Below are 16310 nucleotides of genomic sequence, written 5' to 3' on the forward strand. Positions count from 1 at the left end.
AGGATTGCTTGAGTCCAGGAATCCAAGACAACATGGTAAAACCCTATTTCTACAAAAAAAAAATTTTTTTTGAGATGTTGTTTCGCTCTTGTTAACCAGGCTGGAGTGCAATGGCACAATCTCGGCTCACTGCAACCTCCACCTCCCGGGTTCAAACTATTCTCCTGCCTCAGCCTCCTGAGTATCTGGGATTACAGGCATGTGCCACCACACCCAGCTAATTTTTGTATTTTTAGTAGAGATGGGATTTCTCCATGTTGGTCAGGCTGGTCTCAAACTCCCGACCTCAGGCGATCGACCCACCTCAGCCTCCCAAAATATATTTTTTCAATTAACTGGGCATGGTAGTGCAAACCTGTAGTCCCAGCTACTCAGGAGGTGAAGGGGGAGGACAGCTTGAGCCAGGGAGCTCGAGGCTGCAGTGAGCCATGATTGTATCACTGCATTCCACTCTGGGCACTACAGTGAGACCCTGTCTCAAAAAAAAAAAAGAAAAGAAAAGAAAACACAAATCTGGACACGTCACTACTGTGGGTAAAATCCCTCAATAACTTAAATCATTTTATCAGAGGCATTTGAACCAGAGCAACTCCATCTTGAATAAGAGCTAGGTAAAATAAGGCTAAGACCTGCTGGGCTGCATTCCCAGAGAGTTAGGCATACTAAGTCACAGGATGAGATATGAGGGTCGGCACAAGGCACAGGTCATAAAGACCTTGCTGATAAAACAGGCTGCAGTAAAGACGCCTGCTAAAACCCACCAAACCAAGATGGCCACGAGAATGACCTAGGTCATCCTCATTGCTACACTCTCACCAGCGCCATGACAGTTTACAAATGCCATGGCAATGTCAGGAACTTACCCTATATGGTCTAAAATGGGGAGGCTTGAATAATCTACCCCTCGTTTAGCATACAATCAAGAAATAAAATAAAAATGGGGCCGGACGCAGTGGCTCACGCCTGTAATCCCAGCACTTTGAGAGGCCGAGACGGGTGGATCACCAGGTCAGGAGATTGAGACCATTCTGGCTAACACGGTGAAACCCCGTCTCTACTAAAAAATACAAAAAACTAGCCGGGCATGGTGGCGGGTGCCTGTAGTCCCAGCTACTTGGGAGGCTGAGGCAGGAGAATGGCATGAACCCAGGAGGTGGAGCTTGCAGTGAGCTGAGATCGTGCCACTGCACTACAGCCTGGGCAACAGAGAGAGACTCCGTCTCAAAAAAAAAAAAAATTAGCTGGGCATGGTAGTGCATGCCTGTAATCTCAGCTACTTGGGAGGCTGAAGCAGAAGAATTGCTTGAACCTGGGAGGCAGAGGTTGCAGTGAGCCAAGATCACGGCATTATACTTGACGGAGCAAGATTCTGTCCAAAAAAAGAAAAAGGCTTAAATAAAATATTTTTTGTCAGAAAAGTAAAAAGTGTAATGCCTTTTAGTTCACATGACTTAAGTAATCTTTGGGAAATAAAAACAGTTTTACATGCAAGGTGTGTAAAGAAACTGAAATATGTTTTTCATAAAAGATTATAAGAAGTCAGTCAGGCATGGTGGCTCATGCCTGTAATCCTAGAACTTTGGGAGGCCGAGGCAGACAGATCACGAGGTCAGGAATTTGAGACCAGCCTAGCCAACATGATGAAACCCTGTCTCTACTAAAATACAAAAAATTAGTCAGGCATGGTGATGCGTGCCTGTAGTCCCATCTACTCAGGAGGCTGAGGCAAGGGAATCACTTGAACCCAGGAGGCAAAGATTGCAGTGAGCCGAGATCGCACCACTGAGCTCCAGCCTGGTGACAGAGCAAGACTCCGTCTCAAAAAAAAATAATAAATAAATAAATAAGAAGTCACGGGAATGTGGATTTTTTTTTCGCCTAAAGGGTTAAAGGATTGTTTAAGTTAAATAGAATAAAACTGAAAGTTTAAGAGTTTGTTAATCTTGTAAATGAAATTCTGTGTGTGAACATACTGGCTAAAGTTAAGAGGGTATTATTCAGTTTTTCTGTAAATTAAATATTAGAATAAAAGTACAGTAAGTTTTTCTTAGAGCACTAATCTGCTCTTCAACAAAAAAAATTACAAAGGGTTGGCCAGTCACGTTGGCTCATGTCTGTAATCCCAGCACTTTGGGAGGCCGAGGTGGGCGGATCACCTGAGGTTGGGAGTTCGAGACCAGCCTGACCAACAAGGAGAAACCCCATCTCTACTAAAAATACAAAATTAGCCAGGTGTGGTGGTGCATGCCTGTAATCCCAGCTACTCGGGAGGCTGAGGCAGGAGAATAGCTCGAACCCAGGAGGCAGAGGTTGCGGTGAGCCAAGATCGTGCCACTGCACTCCTGCCTGGGAAACAAGAGCACAACTCCATCTCAAAAAAAAAAAAAATTTTAAAGGGTTATAAAAGGTTAATGAAAATCTTACCTTATGGTCAGGCATTAAAGTTGGATAGATTTGTCTATAAGGTTTTATTAAGAATTGGGTTTAACATTAATAGTATACTAATGCAAAGTGAAGTTTGGCTTATTTGGTATATAAATCATAAAGGAAGCATTGTCAAATATGAAATAGTGTTTGGCTTTCATTGGGCTGTATTTGCATAAATATGTTATTGAGGCCAGGCGTGGTGGCTCAAGCCTGTAATCCCAGCACTGTGGGAGGCCAAGGCAGGCGGATCACCTGAAGTCAGGAGTTCAAGACCAGCCTGGCCAACATGGTGAAACCCCATCTCTACTAAAAATACAAAAATTAGCTAGGCATGGTAGTGCACACCTGTAGTCCCAGCTATCTGAGAGGCTGAGGCAGGAGAATTGCTTGAACCCTGGAGCCAGAGGTTGCAGTGAGCTGAGATCATTGTGCCACTGCACTCCAGGCTGGGTGACAAAGCAAGATTCTGTCTCAAAAATAAATAAATAAATAAACAAAAATATGTTATTGGTATATGTTCCAAAATTATGGAAAACTCCTATAATTCTGTCATGACTTAGTGTATGTTACTAATAATTACAATTGTTATGTAAAATTGTTACATGCCACTGTGGTAACCAAATTTCTTTGTCAGTTGTGTTTTTGACTGTGGCTGCCTTAAAACATTTTGTCATCCACAGACAACTGTTGTCTTGTTTTAATCCTCTTTCAAAGGTGGTTTTAATCAGCTATAGGAATTTGAAAAGTGCTCTTGAATGCAGGTTTCTAATAACTTTGGAGACTGTGACATTAGAATTGAGGAAAAACTTTCAGGACTCATGCAAAGCTGAAATGTTCATGAATGTCAATCAGAACAGAAGTTAACTGCATGGACTGAACTAATAGAAGACTAAAGTAATCTTTTTGACTTTGCTTAAAACATTGCTGATCCCTTGTTTTGTTGTTCAGAGTCAAGAAAACTTTTCTTTTGAGCTATTTACATCTTTTAAAAATTGAGTAAAGTATACTCCTGTGAACAAAATTTAGACCGTATTTGTTTCACTCTACCTAATTTCTCAGAATTTGGAAACTATTTGTGAGTATTCTCAACTTATGGCAATATAATTATTTGCATAAGTGCAATAAGAATCTGTTTCTTTTTGCAATAGGACACAGTTGGAGAAATTGGTTATTTTACCAAGGCTTTGACTGGAATGGTATGTTTTCCTTTAAAGAATCAAATTTGACTAACAGAGCCAATAAAAGCCCCATGAGAAAACTGGCCTCATACCTTGGCTACAGACTCTGTACAGGGTTCTTGACCTGTGGTAATTAAAGAATGTCACTTTCTGACAGGCCCAGGAGCCCCAAGTTATCTTGGAACCTCAAGAGGAGAGAAATTTACCCAACTTACAGGTACTTCAGGATACAAACCCATGGCTGGGCTCAGCTTTAAAAAAGTATTATCTAAGATTTCTTAAGAAGCAGACTTCCATCAAAGCCAATTTTAAAAGCCTATGTAAAAAAATATTTATTCTTGCTGCACTTTATACAAATAATCAGTCCAAGTATAATAAAGCAAATCGGTCTTACCATGATTTGTCTTTAGTAAAAATGAAAGACTGGAGAGAGGAAAAAAATATATGTTTCAAAAACTATGGTTAGGCTGGGCATGGTGGCTCACACCTGGAATCCCAGCACTTTGGGAGGCTGAGGTGGGTGGATCACTTGAGGTCAGCAGTTCAAAACCAGCCTGACCAACATGGTGAAACCTCATCTCTATTAAAAAAAAATACAAAAATTAGCCAGGCATGGTGGTGTGTGCCTATAATCCCAGATACTCGGGAGGTTGAGACAGGAGGATTGCCTGAACCCAGCAGGTGGAGGTTGCAATGAGCCGAGATTGCACCACTGCCCTCCAGCTTGGGCAACAGAGTAAGACTCTGTCTCAAAAAAAAAAAAAAGAAAGAAAGAAAAAAAAAACCTATGGTTATTAGGTTCTAGTCTCATCAGTTGTGTTTACGTTTTTTCCTGCAATTTAGACTGACCCTACTTATTTCTATTAACCAACTAGTGATCTCTGGTGCAGCTCAGAAGAAACAAGAGATATAGGTAATGTAAAAACCTGGATCAATATTCTAATTCTGGGCATATATTGGAATCAGCTAGCAATCCCATATCAGCTTGGTTCCAACAGTTGCCCAGTTCATGAAAAGCCTTCTAATTTAGTTTATTTGGAATAATTTCACTTATTTTGCTTTACCGTTGTGGAATACATTGCTGTTGTACTCTTTGTGTAGAAACGCACAATAAGCTTACTGAATGTTTTCTTAAATTGAACACTTATTAATCTTCCAGATATTACCTTTTGTTGGAACTCAAGAGACATGAATGGCCTTGCCATACTGCTGCTTTCTGACTGAGCTCCTCTCTACCCTGAATACAAGAGACCCTCATAGTTAGGCAGGAATATAATCGACCTATTCAGCATGAAGAAGTTACAGAAGATGGATTTTCATCCCTTTGCAACCCTTATGATTAAGGGCTCTTTTATAAAAGGGAGGGAGAAATATCAGAGGCATTTGAACCACAGTAACTCCATCTTGAATAGGGGCCAGGTAAAATAAGGCTAAGACCTGCTGGGCTGCATTCCCAGACAGTTAGGCATTCTAAGTCACTGGATGAGATGTGAGGGTCAGCACAAGGCACAGGTCATAAAGACCTTGCTGATAAAACATGCTCAAGTAAAGAAGCCTGCTAACACCCACCAAACCAAGATGGCCATGAGAGTGACCCACCTCGTCCTCATTGCTACATTCCCTCCAGTGCCTTGACAATTTACAAATGCCACGGTAATGTCAGGAAGTTACCCTATATGGTCTAAAAAGGGGAGGCATGAATAATCTGTCAGGCCTCTGAGCCCAAGCTAAGCCATCATATCCCCTGTGACCTGCATGTATACATCCAGATGGCCTGAAGCAACTGAAGATCCACAAAAGAACTGAAAACAGCCTTAACTGATGACATTCCACCATTGTGATTTGTTCCTGCCCCACCCTAAGTGATAGGCTATGTTCTCCCCCGCCCTTAAGAAGGTACTTTGTAATATTCTCCCCCGCCCTTAAGAATGTACTTTGTACACCTATCCCAAACGTATAAAAACTAATGATAATCCCACCAACCTTTGCTGACTCCTTTCTCGGACTCAGCCCACCTGCACCCAGGTGAAATAAACAGCCCTGTTGCTCACACAAAGCCTGTTGGTGGTCTCTTCACAAGGATGCGTGTGACATTTGGTGCCAAAACCCAGGACAGGAGGACTCCTTCAGGAGACCAGTCCCCTGTCTTCGCCCTCACTCCGTGACCTCAGGTCCTCAGACCAACCAGCCCAAGGAACATCTCACCAACTTCAAATTGGGTAAGCAGTCTTTTCACTCTTCTCATGCCTCTCTTGCTACCCTTCAATCTTCCTCTCTTGCTACCCTTCAATCTCCCTGTCCTTCCAATTCCAATTCTTTTTCCTCTCTAGTAGAGACAAGGAGACGGCCAGGTGCGGTGGCTCACGCCTGCAATCCCAGCTCTCAGGGAGGCTAAGAGGCGGGAGGATAGCTTGAGCCCAGGAGTTCGAGACCTGCCTGGGCAATATAGCGAGACCCCGTTCTCCAGAAAAAGGAAAAAAAAAAAAAAAGAGACAAGGAGACACATTTTATCCGTGGACCCAAAACTCTGGCGCCAGTCACGGACTCGGGAAGATAGTCTTCCCTTGGTGTTTAATCACTGCGGAGATGCCTGCCTGATTATTCACCCACCCTCCACTGGTGTCTGATCACTGCGGGGACACCTGCCTTAGTCATTCACCCACATTCCCTTGGTGGCAAGTCAATTGCAGGGATGCCTGCTTTGGCTGCTCACCCACATTGCAGCCCAGGGCTGCTCACCCACCCACTTCTCCATGTCTCTACCTTTCTCTTTAAACTTACCTCCTTCACTATGGGCAACCTTCCACTCGCCATTCTCCCTTCTTCTCCTTTAGCCTGTGTTCTCAAAAACTTAAAACCTCTTCAACTCACACCTGACCTAAAACCTAAGCGTCTTATTTTCTTCTACAACACCGCTTGGCCCCAATACAAACTTGACAATGATTCCAAATAGCCAGAAAATGACACTTTCGATTTCTCCATCCTACAAGATCTAGATAATTCTTGTCATAAAATGGGCAAATGGTCTGAGGTGCCTGACGTCCAGGCATTCTTTTACACATCGGTCCCTTCCTAATCTCTGTTCCCAATGAGATTCATCCCAAAGCTTTCTTCTTTCTCTCCTGTCTGTTCCTTCAGTCTCCACCCCAAGCTCTGAATCCTGGGAATCCTCCTTTTCTACAGACCCATCTGACCTCTACCCTCCTCCCCAGGCTGCTCCTTGCCAGGCCGAGCCAGCTCCCAACTCTTCTTCAACCTCTGCTCCCCCACCCTATAACCCTTCTATTACCTCCCCTCCTCACACCCGGTCTGGCTTACAGTTTCATTCCGTGACCAGCCCTCCCCCACCTGCCCAACAATTTCCTCTCAGAGAGGTGGCTGGAGCTGAAGGCATAGCCAAGGTTAATCCTCCTTTTTCTTTATCCAACCTCTCCCAAATCAGTTAGCGTTTAGGCTCTTTTTCATCAAATATGAAAACCCAGCCCAGTCCATGGCCCGTTTGGCAACAACCCTTAGATGCTTTACCGCCCTAGACCCAGAGGGGCCAGAAGGCTGTCTTATTCTCAATACACATTTTATTACCCAACCCACTCCTGACATTAGAAAAATCTCCAAAAATTAGATTCTGGCCTTCAACCCCCCAACAGTACTTAATTGACCTCACCTTCAAGGGGTACAGTAATACAGAAGAGTTGTAATTACTTGCCTCCGCTGTGAGAGAAACCCCAGCTACATCTCCAGCACACAAGAACTTCAAAACGCCTAAACCTCAGGGGTCAGGCATTCCTCCAGGACCGCCTCCCCAGGATCTTGCTTCTAGTGCTGGAAATCTGGCCACTGGGCCAAGGAATGCCTGCAGCCTGGGATTCCTCCTAAGCCGTGTCCCATCTGTGCAGGACCCCACTGGAAATCAGACTGTCCAACTCACCCAGCAGCCACTCCCAGAGCCCCTGGAACTCTGGCCCAAGGCTCTCTGACTGACTCCTTCCCAGATCGTCTCAGCTTAGCGGCTGAAGACTGACACTGCCCGATCGCCTCGGAAGCCTACAGGACCATCACAGATGCTCTGGATAACTCTTACAGTGGAGGGTAAGTCCATCCTCTTCTTTATCAATACGGAAGCTACACACTCCACATTACCTTCTTTCCAAGGGCGTGTTTCCCTTGCCTCCATAACTGTTGTGGGTATTGACAGCCAGGCGTCTAAACCTCCTAAAACTCCCCAACTCTGGTGCCAACTTGGAAAACATTCTTTTATGCACTCCTTTTTAGTTATCCTCACCTGCCCAGCTCCCTTATTAGGTTGAGACATTTTAACTAAATTTTCTGCTTCCCTGACTATTCCTGGGCTACAGCCACACCTCATTGCCTCCTTTTCCCCCAGTTCAAAGCCTCCTTCACATCCTCTCCTTGTATCTCCCCACCTTAATCCACAAGTATAGGACACCTCTACTCCCTCCTTGGCAACGGATGATGCACCCCTTACCATCCCATTAAAACCTAATCACCCTTACCCTGCTCAATGCCAATATCCCATCCCACAGCACGCTTTAAAAGGATTAAAGCCTGTTATCACTCACCTGCTACAGCATGGCCTTTTAAAGCCTATAAACTCTCCTTACAATTCCCCATTTTACCTGTCCAAAAACTACACGAGTCTTACAGGTTAGTTCAGGATCTGCACCCTATCGACCAAATTGTCTTGCCTATCCACCCTGTGGTGCCAAAGCCATATATTCTCCCATCCTCAATACCTCCCTCCACAACCCATTATTCTGTTCTAGATAAACCTAGCTGACCCCATAAATCCTAAATCCTTTCCCCACTCCCCTTTCCATTCCTTAAAAAACAGCCCTAAAAGATGCTCCCACACTACCTCTCCCTAACTCATCCCAACCTTTTTCATTACACACAGCTGAAGTGCAGGGCTGTGTGGTCGGAATTCTTACACAAGAGCCGGGACCGCGCCCTGGAGCCTTTCTGTCCAAACAACTTGACCTTACTCTTTTAGCCTAGCCCTTACGTCTGCGTGTGGTGGCTGCCGCTGCTTTAATACTTTTAGAGGCCCTCAAAATCACAAGCTATGCTCCACTTACTCTCTACAGTTCCCATAACTTTCAAAATCTATTTTCCTCCTCACACTTGACGCATATACTTTCTGCCCCCCAGCTCTTTCAGCTATACTCACTCTTTGTTGAGTCTCCCACAGTTACTATTGTTCCTGGCCCAGACTTCAATCCGGCCTCCCACATTATTCCGGATACCACACCTGATCCCCATGACTGTATCTCTCTGATCCACCTGACATTCACTCCATTTCCCCATATTTCCTTCTTTCCTGTTCCTCACCCTGATAACACTTGGTTTATTGATGGCAGTTCCACCAGGCCTAATCGCCACTCACCAGCAAAGGGAGGCTATGCTATAGTATCTTTCACATCTATCATTGAGGCTACCACTCTGACCCCCTCCACTACCTCTCAGCAAGCTAAACTCATTGCCTTAACTTGGGCCCTCATTCTTGCAAAAGGACTACGAGTCAATATTTATACTGACTCTAAATATGCCTTCCATATCCTGCACCACCATGCTGTTATATGGGCAGAAAGAGGTTTCCTCACTACTCAAGGGTCCTCCATCATTAATGCCTCTTTAATAAATACTCTTCTCAAGGCTGTTTTACTTCCAAAGGAAGCTGGAGTCATTCACTGCAAGGGCCATCAAAAGGCATCAGATCCCACTGCTCAGGGCAACGCTTATGCTGATAAGGTAGTTAAAGAAGCAGCTAGCTTTCCAACTTCTGTCCCTCACGGCCAGGACTGGACAGTACTTTGCCCTTCTCAGAATTAGAGCCTGTCCTCGAGATGCTACAGGGTACTGTCCATTTGAACTTTTATATGGACGCACTTTCTTGCTCAGCCCTGACCTCGTCCCAGACACCAGCCCTCTAGGCAACTATCTTCCAGTCCTCCAGCAGGCTAGACAGGAAATTCGCTAGGCTGCTCATCTTCTCTTGCCTACTCCAGATTCCCAGCCATATGAAGACACCCTAGCTGGATGATCAGTTCTTGTTAAGAATCTGACCCCTCAAACTCTACAACCTCCATGGACTGGACCCCACTTAGTCATCTATAGTACCCCAATGGCTGTTCGTCTGCAGGATGCCCCACCATTAGGTTCATCATTCCAGAATAAAGCTGTGCCCGTCAAACAGCCAGCCTGATCTCTCCTCTTCCTCCTGGAAGTCACAAGTGTTCACCCCTACTTTCCTTAAACTTATTTGCATTTCTGAAGAGCAGTAATAACCCTTATGAGCCTAATACAACCCTTCATTCTATTAGGTCTATTCATCCTTACCCTACTTTTTGCAATAGGGCTTTACGCAGTCACCCCCACTACTTGTTCTGTGCCCCAAAAACTTGTCATCCCTATCTTCTGTCTAGTCATACTCCTATTCACCATTCTCAACTACTTGTAAATGCCCTGCCCTTGTTTACACTGCTGGTTTACGCTTTTCCTCCAAACCATTGTAGCGGATATCTCCTGGTACTATCCCCAATCCGCCACTCTTGACTCCCTCTTAGAGTGGATAGATGAACTTTGCTGACAGGGCACCCTCCGATACTTTTACCCTGATGAAGTCCTATTCTTTACTTTTATACTCACTCTTATTCTCATTCCCATTCTTATGCCATCCTCTACCTCTCCCCAGCTATCTCCACCACACTATCAATCTCACTCACTCTCTCCTAGCTGTTTCTAAACCTTCTTTAACAAACAATTGCTGGCTTTGCATTTCTCTTTCCTCTAAAATCACAGAGGCCTCGACTTACTCACTGCTAAAAAAAAAAAAAAAGGGGGACTCTGGGCCAGGCGCAGTGGCTCATGCCTGCAATCCCAGCACTTTGGAACACTGAGGTGGGCAGATCACGAGGTCAGGAGATCGAGACCATCCTGGCTAACACAGTGAAATTCTGTCTCTACTAAGAATACAAAAACTTAGCTGGGCGTGGTGGCGGGTGCCTGTAGTCCCAGCTTCTTGGGAGGCTGAGGCAGGAGAATGGTGTGAACCCGGAAGGCGGAGCTTGCAGTGAGCCGAGATCACGCCACTGCACTCCAGCCTGGGCAACAAAGCAAGAGTCTGTCTCAAAAAACAAAAACAAAAACAACAAAAAACATTTTTTAAATGAAGAGTGTTGTTTTTACCTAAATCAATCTGGCCTGGTATATGACAACATAAAAAAACTCAAGGATAGAGCCCCAAAACTCGCCAACCAATCAAATAATTACGCTGAACCCCCTTGGACACTCTCTAATTGGATATCCTGGGTCCTCCCAATTCTTAGTCCTTTAATACCTGTTTTTCTCCTTCTCTTATTAGGACCTTGTGTCTTCCGTTTAGTTTCCCAATTCTTACAAAACCGCATCCAGGCCATCACCAATCATTCTATATGACAAATGCTCCTTCTAACAACCCCACAATATCACCCCCTACCCCAAAATCTTTCTTCAGTTTAATCTCTCCCACTGTAGGTTCCCATGCCACCCCTAATCCTGCTCGAAGCAGCCCAGAGAAACATTGCTCATTATCTCTCCACATCGCCCCTAAAAAATTTTCGCCACCCCAACACTTCACCACCATTTTGTTTTGTTTTTCTTATTAATATAAGAAGACAGGAATGTCAGGTCTCTAAGCCCAAGCTAAATCATCATATCCTGTGACCTGCATGTATACATCCAGATGGCCTGAAGCAACTGAAGATCCACAAAAGAACTGAAAATAGCCTTAACTGATGACATTCTACCATTGTGATTTGTTCCTGCCCCACCCTAACTGATAGGATATATTCTACCCCCCCACTTAAGAAGGTGCTTCGTAATATTCTCCCCGCCCTTGAGAATGTACTTTGTACACCTATCCCAAACCTATAAGAACTAATGATAATCCTGCCACCCTTTGCTGACTCCTTTTTCAGACTCAGCCCACCTGCACCCAGGTGAAATAAACAGCCTTGTTACTCACACAAAGCCTGTTGGTGGACTCTTCACATGGAAGCACGTGACATAATCCACCCCTTGTTTAGCATATAATCAAGAAATTTTAAAAAATTAAAACGGCAACCAGTAGCCCTCAGGGCTGCTCTGTCTATGGAGTAGCCATTCTTTATTACTTTACTTTCTTAATAAATTTGCCTTTACTTTACTCTATAGATTCGCTTTGAATTCTTTCTTGCTCAAGATCCAAGAACCCTCTCTTGGAGTCTGGCTCGGGACCCCTTTCCGGTAACAATTTTTGGAACAAAACCCAAACCTCTGAGGATTGCATGAAAAGATCTTTATAAATAGCTTCAGACTTCCTCTCCAGCCCCATTTCCCATCCCCACTGGAAGCTTCTCTCTCTTACCTCCCAATCCAGTCACACCAAACTTACCTTTTCACACACTGCCTATTCACTCCACCCCTGATCCTGGGTATATCTTTCCATATCCCAATTCCACCTTCACGTGATGAACTACAAACTCATCCTTCAAGACTCAGTTCAGGAGTTATCTTCAAAAAACTTTCTCTGGCCCCCTCCATACATTCTCACATAACTCAGTGCTTACTTCCATCAAGGCATGATAATGGTTCCATTATGATAATGGGATCATACCTGGGTTTAATTGTTCTTATCTGTCTTACCTCTACACCTAGACCACTAGCTTCTTGGAAGCAGGGACCAATGTGCTATCTCTGGCCCCAGCTCACCACAATATATGGCACACACCAGGCAGTCAGTAAACACACCCTAAACAAACAGTCCCCAGGCAGATTAAGCTCAGTGTGATTTTTCTGTGTACTCTCATTGACCACCTTTCATGCCGACAATTGAAACCATTTCCCTAGGAGCAGCCTACCTAGTAAGTCAACAAGCTACAGTAACAACTGCAGCTTGATTGCGATGTGTAAAAGTGCAAGTGTTCTATTTTTCTTGCAAATTCTGTGCTTTGTACTGCATATTGTGTAGAACCAAAACTCTCACATGCCTCACTAAATAGACAGTGTTGACCCTTGAGGTGCCTTCCTCAGCCCAAGCAGCAACATAGCCTAATATAGACCCACAAGCCCTTATCTGAAGCCTCTTGGGCCAAGTGCATTTTGGAATTCAGAATGTGGGAGATTTTAGGAAGATAACACATTACCTGTATCAAATACTACATAACAACCCCAGCAGGGTCTGAGGCAATACCCAGTTAATCAAACGCTTTCATATTTCCACAGTATAACTTACGAAGAGTAATACTTAGTGAGAGAAACAAAGCCTATAAATAGTCTCATGTCAGTTCAAGCAAGTCTTACTGCCAAATTGAGCTTGGGTCAAACTTACAAGAAAAATTTGTTCCAGCCTTCAGAGCTTTCAGGACTTCAGAACTGCTGATAAGGGATTGAGGATGGTAGTTAATGAGCATGGCCTGACAATACCTATATGCATTAGAAAGGACTGGAGTATATGTCTGTGTGCATAGATACCACACTTATAAATATTCACATATGCTGTATTTGTATGGACTCAGACACAGACACATGGAAAGTCTGGAAGGGTGCACAGCAAAATGTTAACAGTAGTCATTTCTCAGTGATTAGATTTCTTTTTCTTTTTGCTTATATGTATTTCCTATAGTTAGCTATAATAACATGTTTTTTGTGTTTTATATACATACACAGGCTTTGGAGTCAAAGACACGTTATATTGAGAAAGTTATCTAACTTCTCTAAGCATCTGCTTCCTCATGTGAATAAGATAACAGTGTCTGCCTCATACAATTGCTGTCTTCTTTTCCCATAGTTAACTTGAGGGTATCCCTCACTGCATGACCAAGAGGTGTTCTAGAAGCCAAATAAGATCTGTTGAAGGCCCAGACCTATAAAACAAAGATAGGCAGCAAGGCCTTGATTTTAACATCCGGTAGCCAGGCCTACCACTGAATTGGTGTCTGGGTTTTTCTTTTTCCTTTTTTTTTTTGAGATGGAGTCTCGCTCTGTCACCCAGGCTGGAGTTCAGTGGTGCAATCTTGGCTCACTACAATCTCTGCCTCCCAGGTTCAAGCGATTCTTGTGCCTTAGCCTCCCAAGTAGCTAGGATTACAGGCACCCACCACTACACCCAGCTTATTTTTGAACTTTTAGTAGAGATGGGGTTTTGCCATCTTGCCCAGTCTGGTCTCGAACTCCTGACCTCAAGTGATCCGCCCACCTCGACCTCCCAAAATGCTGAGATTACAGGCATGAGCCACTGCAGTCTGGGCTTTTTCTTTTTCTTTCATTTTTTTTTTTTTCTTTTTTTTGAGGCAGAGTTTTGCTCTTGTTGCCCAGGCTAGAGTGCAATGGCACGATCTCGGCTCACCACAACCTCTGCCTCCCCGGTTCAAGCGATTCTCTTGCCTCAGCCTCCCGAGTAGCTGGGATTACAGGCATGCGCCACTACGCCCGGCTAATTTTGTATTTTTAGTAGAGATGGGGTTTCTCCATGTTGGTCAGGCTGGTCTCGAACTCCCGACCTCAGGTGATCCGCCTGCCTCAGCCTCCCAAAGTGCTGGGATTACAGGCGTGAACCACTGCGTCCAGCCAGTCTGGGCTTTTTCTAAAACATGCCATCATACAAAGAAAAAATAAATAAATTCAAACCAAAATGGAAATACCCCATTTGTTTTGAGAATCATCTGAGAGGCAGCAACATTATTTCTTCATTCAATTGCTCCTTCTGCCTCCTTTTGCTCTATTTCCTCCTCGAGGCCCCTTAGTTATTTGTAGGTACTCCTCAAGCCCTAGACCAGTACTGTCCAATAGAACCTTTTTGATGATGAAAATATTCTATAACTGTGTTGTCCAATATATATTGAACACTTAAAATATGGCTTGAGACCGGGCCCAGTGGCTCATGCCTGTAATCCTAGCACTTTGGGAGGCCGAGGCAAGCAGATCAGGCAGTCAGGAGTTCGAGACCAGCCTGACCAACATGGTGAAACCCCGTCTCTACTAAAAATATAAAAATTAGCTGGGCATGGTGGTGGGCGCCGATAATCCCAGCTACTCGGGAGGCTGAGGCAGGAGAATTGCTTGAACCCGGGAGGCAGAGGTTGCAGTGAGCCGAGATTGTGCCACTGCACTCCTGCCTGGGTGACAAAGCAAGACTCCGTCTCGGGGGAAAAAAAAAAATAATTATATATATATATATATATATATATATATATTTGAGAAAGGGTCACGCTCTATCACTCAGGCTGAAGTGCAGTAGCGCGATCTCGGCTCACTGCAACCTCTGCCTCCTGAGTTCAAGCAATTCTCCTGCCTCAGCCTCCCGAGTAGCTGGGATTACAGGCATGCGCCACCACACCCGGATAATTTTTGTATTTTCAGTAGAGACATGGTTTCACCATGTTGGCCAGGCTGCTATCAAACTCCTGACCTCAAGCAATCAGCCTGCCTAGGCCTCCCAAAGTGCTGGGATTACAGGCATGAGCCACTGTGCCCAGCCAAAAAACTGAAGTTTTTAATTTGATTTTACCTAAATTAAGTTTAGCCTGTAATCCCAGCACTTTGGGAGTTCACGATGGGAGGATGGCTTGGGACCAGGAGTTCGAGACTAGCCTAGTCAATCAACATAGCAAGACCCCATCTCTTAAAAATAAATAAATAAATAAAATAGCCATACATGGCTAGTGACTAGCACATTGGACAGTGCAAATCTAGACCTTGTTCTTCCTCTTCTACAAGGAACCCACCAGCCATCCTGGTTGATTATGAATGAGGCTGTCCAGCCCTGTCTGAGCTCAGCACCTCCACCATCCCCTGGGCATTTCTACAAGACGTTCTGTATGCAGGGGGGACCCAGGTAAAACTGTAGTCTGATTCTGGACTCTTTCCCTGAGCTCTCCCGCCTATTACCAGCACCATCATTCTTCCTATCAGCCAGGTGTACAGTCTTGCCATCGGCTCACCTCTCTCCTTGGCCCCCCAGAGAGAGTTAGTCATCCATTTCTTCAGTCTCACAGCTGCCTTCCTCCAGGCTACCATCTCCTCACTTGCTACCTCAGGAGTCTCCCAACTAAGAGATCTTCCCACTTCTCCCTACCCATTTAGCCTCTGCACTTGGCCTGATTAAACTCTGATTTCATCTCTCTGCTCTAAATCTTCCTGTACAGGTTAAGACCCAAACTGGTTCAATTGGCATCTGACGCCCTTTGCAAATGGCTCTACTCTCCTTCATCAATCCATCACCCAAAGACAGCCTGATCTAAAAGGATAGATTCTTCACACATGCCATCCGCACTCCTGCCTTCATATGAAGTTACTCCTACTTTTTGGCCACCTCTCCTTCGAAGCCCAGCCTCAACTCCCACCTCCTCCTTCATGAAGCCCTCCCCAGCCACATAAGTTCTCAGTAGTCATTTCTCTGAATTTTGAGTGTCTTCCTGTCTATATAATGTGTCTGGCACTTTAAGAAACATTAGACTGTTTTGGAAAATGCCTTGGGCTTTGGAATAAAATAGAGCTGGTGATGTTACTGACTCCATCCATCACCTCTTATGAAACCTCAAACAAATTACTTAATTTGCTTCCTCATTTGTAAAATGGAAGTAATGCTACCATATTTACGGAGACCTCAAAAGGATAAACAAATACAATCTACATGGGTCACGAACCTAGCACAATGCCTGGTACACA

At 44.5% G+C, this 16310-nt stretch overlaps 1 protein-coding gene and 1 long non-coding RNA gene across 22 annotated transcripts in view; one reads left to right on the forward strand and one right to left on the reverse strand.

Annotated features, from left to right (window-relative positions):
• The window catches only part of INPP5B (inositol polyphosphate-5-phosphatase B), an 86361-nt gene that overhangs the window by 41807 nt on the left and 28244 nt on the right, over positions 1–16310 (reverse strand). The gene's annotated exons all lie outside the window — the stretch shown is intronic.
• Positions 674–16153, forward strand: LOC124904043 (uncharacterized). Its single transcript, XR_007065876.1, has 4 exons — positions 674–5824; positions 7502–7694; positions 15360–15477; positions 15788–16153. It is a non-coding gene; the product is annotated as an uncharacterized LOC124904043 (long non-coding RNA).

The sequence above is a fragment of the Homo sapiens genome, chromosome 1 (assembly GCF_000001405.40).
Source record: "Homo sapiens chromosome 1, GRCh38.p14 Primary Assembly".
Classification (NCBI taxonomy): domain Eukaryota; kingdom Metazoa; phylum Chordata; class Mammalia; order Primates; family Hominidae; genus Homo; species Homo sapiens.